The sequence below is a fragment of the Homo sapiens genome, chromosome 11 (assembly GCF_000001405.40).
Source record: "Homo sapiens chromosome 11, GRCh38.p14 Primary Assembly".
NCBI classification, from domain to species: Eukaryota; Metazoa; Chordata; class Mammalia; order Primates; family Hominidae; genus Homo; species Homo sapiens.
The window spans coordinates 107,156,911-107,161,832 of NC_000011.10; the positions used below are offsets into that span (position 1 = coordinate 107,156,911).

The following is a 4,922-nucleotide window of genomic DNA, read 5'->3' on the forward strand; positions in this document are numbered from 1 at the left end:
TGGGGAAAGGTCTTTTTTGCTTAATTTTGTTTTTTAAAACTCTGATATTTGCTTGAGCAACAAGCAGGTTATCTGCCTGGTTGAATTCTGGTTGAACTGTGTATTCTAGTATTTCCAGTTAAGTGGTGACTAGGTAAAGAAACCACTTGGGGTAGCAATTCAACAATTCACTTATGAACGTTCATAAGCTTTCCATTTCCTAGGTAATTTTTTAAAAGCCAGTCAAAACAAAAAAACTTCACTGTCTACTATACCTAAAGGAAATGGCCTTTTTCCTTACTGACTATACCTTCTGAATCTTGGTATTATAAAGCTCTGGGGACCTCTGAGTTTGTTCTGACCATTCGTTAGTCCGCATGGCCAAGCACTCAAGGATTGATGGATACCACACACCAGCTACATTCACTTGCTAAAAACAACAGCTCTTTCTCCAAACAACTCAAACCCCCAGTTCCCATCGCATTCCATTTGGGTGAGATGCAACTAACAGTCCCCTTCCAGGATAAAGGAGTCAAAGAATAAAGCTTGCCTAGAGGCAAAAAATAATAATAAAAACAACAGCAAAACCTGACAAATAGAACCAGGGAAGGTCATGAAGAGAAGAATTCTCATGAACAAATGCCTGATAACAAAAACTATCACAAAAGCCTAGGCAAAAACTGCAACCTTGCACAAAAAACACTTCTGCAAGGTCATCTGCCCAGCAACTGCCTGTTCAACTTTGGACTAGTGTCACACTTATTATTGATCCTTGTAGCCAAGAGTAATGATCTCAAAACAATTGTGTAACCCTCCTCATTTTTTCCTTAAAAACCTTGTCTTTCTTTACCTCCCTGAATATGCACATAGTTTACTATGACTTATATATTCCTATTGCAATGCCCTTATTCCCAAATAAATATTATTTTCTTTTAGATACCTTATCTCTCTGTTTGCTATCTAAGCTGACACTGTACCCCAGTTTGGGGAAATTTTAAAAATCAGAAAGCAAAGATTACAAACAGAAATCTGTAATTGCCTGGGGCAATAAGCAGACAGATTAACCAAGATAAAGATTTAGAAATAGGCAAAGGTCTCTTTGCTCAATCCCCTAGTGGGGATCCAAAGCCTTATGTACGCAAGTGAATGAAATGGTCAGGAAGTGGTGAAGAAAAATTCCTGGGAATCCTTGATATGGGAGCCCCATGCACTGTGGTTCCAAGATTCATTGGTGAAGCCCTTGTTGGAACTACAATTAGATTGAGAGAACATAACAATGTAAAAGTTGATAGGATTATGAAAGTTGGAATATTTAAACAGGCCTTGTTTAAAGAAGTCGTGTCTCCTTTACCTAAATGCTTTATGGGAATGGATATTATGTCTGGCTGGGGAAAACTTCCTCCACCTAGTATTATAAAACAAAAGGCATATAAATCTGCTCTTCAAATGATACTAATTGGATATGCTAAAGGGAACCAGTAAGATTCCCTGAGTCCACACAGTGTAGAACAGACGCTTAAGTAATGGTAGGAACAAATCCTGGGTGTGATAGCCCTATGTAAAGCCTAGACTATTGCTTATGGCAAAAGACTGTGAACACCTCCCAGCAATTACTACTGGGAATCTGAACAAGAGAATTTCCACTTTAGGGGCATTTACTACCTTGCTATGGGATATTAATTGAAGCTAGCCTTATGACTGAAGGACATAAAATGATCTTGAAACCGAAATACCCATGATGTATTGGATAATGTCACAGAAACACTCTAAATGGGGATGCTACTGCCCAGAAGAGTTCCATAATAAAATGGAAATGGCTTATACAAGATCATGCTATCTGAGGAATGCAAAGAGGAAATACTCACAAGCAGGGAGCCTCTCTTCCCCCAGGATTGACTCTGGAAATGTGTGAGGAGCTGCTGGATTCCATAGTGTCCTGTAAACAGTCTCAACTGACTATTCAAGAGCTTTTGGGTTTGCAGGTGGCAATTTTCAGGTGAATGGATGACATGCTATTTAGATGGTTGCTACTCTGGGAAGGTAAAAACAAATCAGCTTGGTGGGCTGAGTTATATGCTGTCTTTCCAGCAGCAATTGAAGAATTGAACAGTGTTAAAAGCCCCTGTGCTTGGGTTTTTACTAACTCATGGTCAGTGGCCAATGGTCTGGAAAAATGGTCAGTCAGAAAGACAATGGAAAAGGAATGCTCATATGGGCCAAAGTCTTAGGGAAATTTGAAAGGTGCACTAAATTTCAATGCCCAGCAATGCCCAGGTCAGGAGGTGATTTGAATTGACAAGCAGATATTCCTGTGTGTTCATTTGAGGTGACCACCCGGGTCCATGAGATGACTGGTCATGAGGCTATTGCAGCAGTGCAGAGATGGGGCTAAGTCTAGACATGTTCTTTTGCACCCTCTCAGATGCATAATGCCAAAAAAAATGGCAATAAAAACTGTTCAATCTGCCAGCAAAAGAGACAGAGATTGCCAATGGCTATGGGGCAGATTCCTTAGTTGGAAGGCTCAAACATAGCTGGCAAGTGAGACTGATGCTGATAACCCTGAGGGAATACAAATATAAGTCTTGACAGAAATAGACACTGATTCTAGGCTAGATTTTGCTTACCCCATGGAAGGTAAAAATGCTCAGCCTGCTACTTAAACAAACAAGAACAGAAGATACTGAATGGATTTGGATGGCCAACCATTATTTCTTCAGACCAAGGAATATGCTGTATATCCCATAATGTTCAACAATAGTCGTAGAGGTAACCTCCTCAGAGTAAGTTTGATAGACATAGAATCTGCAATTAAAACATTGACTGACTAAATCACGGGAAGATAAAAGCATGAAGGGTTGGCTTACACACCTTTACAAGTGTGTGCTCACACTCAACATAAGTGGAGCTAAAAAAAAAGTGTCACCACTATATTTTCCTTTGTTTCTGGTGGAACTGGGAAGAAGGGGTGGGGAAGCATGCTGGCATGACTATGCAATTCTTGCCAAGGGAGTAATATGCTGTTGTAATGATTATAATTTTTTTCTTTCTTCCCCATATTGTCTCAATTTGATTTTTCTCCCCTACCTAACGCAGAGGTCCTAGGACCAGGGCTGCAACTACAAGAGTTAGAAACTGGGATGATTCCTAACCAAGAAACTGTAACTGTATTTTTAAACCTTATGTCAGAATTCCTAAGGGCCTGATGAGGGTGAGTTGAGCCCCCAGCCCACCTGGAAAAATTGGGGTTAACAGTGAATGCAGCTATATTGTCTGGAAGTAAAAAATAAACCATGAGTTCTGCACCTCATAACCTTACTCTTTCTAAATGGGAGTCGACTGAGAGAGAGGTACTTACTAGATTGGTATTGCTGCCTACAATGTAGACCAGCATAGTGGCCTATACTAATGTCTCTTCAAAAGATTAGAAAAAAAAGTTTGGTATTAATGAAGAAAAGGAGGAATAGTAGCTGAGGGTAAAGAAATGAGTAACTGGGTTATGAATTGAAGGACATCCAATATTACATTTACACCTTGAAAGAGGCTCAGAGCAAGAGATGACATTGTCTTTTAACTCAATTATACCAGATGCCTCAAAAGTTGAAGCTATACACTTGCCTTTGGAAACTGGCTAGATTGAATGAACGTCTACTTCCATTTTGTCCCTGTTTTGATAAGGAACAAAACAGCGATGCTCACTTCTTTTCAACACAGTGATGAAAGAGCTATTAAGCAAGAAATACATAGAGCAATTAAGCAATAAATAAATATATAGTACTATTAAGAACAATTAAGCAAAAAATAAAGTCATCATAATAGGAAAGAAAGAAATGAAATTCTCTCTATTTACTGATAACATGGCCTTATATATAGAAAATCCTAAAGACCCCACCAAGAAACTGTGAGAACTGATAAATTCAGTAAAGTTGCAGGATATAAAATCAACATATGAAAATCAGTACTTTCTATATACTAATAACAAACTATCTGAAAAGGAAATCAAGAAAACAATCCCATTTACAATAGCATCAAAAACAACAAAAAATATTTAGGTGTAAATTTAACCAAGGAATTGAAAGAACTGTAGAGTGAAAACTATAAAATACTAATGTAATAAGTTGAAAAAAACACACACAAATAAATGGAAAGATATCCTATGTCCACTGACTGAAAGAATTAATATTGTTAACATGTTCATACTACCCAAAGCAATCTACAGATTCAGGGCAGTTCCTATCAAAATTACAATGTCATTTTTCACAGAAATAGAGAAAAAAAAGTCCTTAAACTGATATGAAATGGCAAAGACTCAAAACAATCTTGAGCAAAAAAGAACAAAGCTGAAGGCATTACACTGCATGATTTCAAAATATATGCTAAAATGTTGTAATCAAAATAGCACAATACTGACACCAAAACATACACATATATCAATTGAAAGGATAGAAAGACCAGAAATAAATCCACACATTTATGGTCAATTGATTTTTGAGAAAGGTACCAAAAGCACATAATGGGACAAGGACAGTGTTTAATAAATGAGATTGGAAAAACTGATTACTTACATGCAGAAGAATAAAATTTGATCCCTGTCTTACACCATGTACAAAAAATTTACTCAAAATGGGTTAAAGACTTAAATCTAAGACCTGAAATAGCAAAACTACTACAGGAAAACATGGTGGAAAATCTTCACATTTGTCTGGACAGTGATTTTTCAGACACAACCCAGAAAACATAGGCAACAAAACTAAAACAAATTGTATTAAACCAAACTATAAAGTTTTTGCATAGCAAAAGAAACTATCAACAGAGTGAAAAGACAATCTACAGAATGGAAGAAAATGTTTGCAAACCGTACATCTGATAAGAGGTTAATATCCAAAATTTTTGAGTAACACAAACAACTCAATAGCAGGAGAACAAATAACCCAATTAAAAAA

General features: G+C 37.2%; 1 annotated feature.

Moving 5' to 3' along the window:
* Positions 273-567: a silencer, noted in NCBI's record as "tiled region #1938; HepG2 Repressive non-DNase unmatched - State 23:Low". NCBI's record gives its function as "represses a minimal TATA promoter and a strong SV40 promoter by Sharpr-MPRA in HepG2 cells {active_cell/tissue: HepG2}" and the evidence as "EXISTENCE:reporter gene assay evidence [ECO:0000049][PMID:27701403]".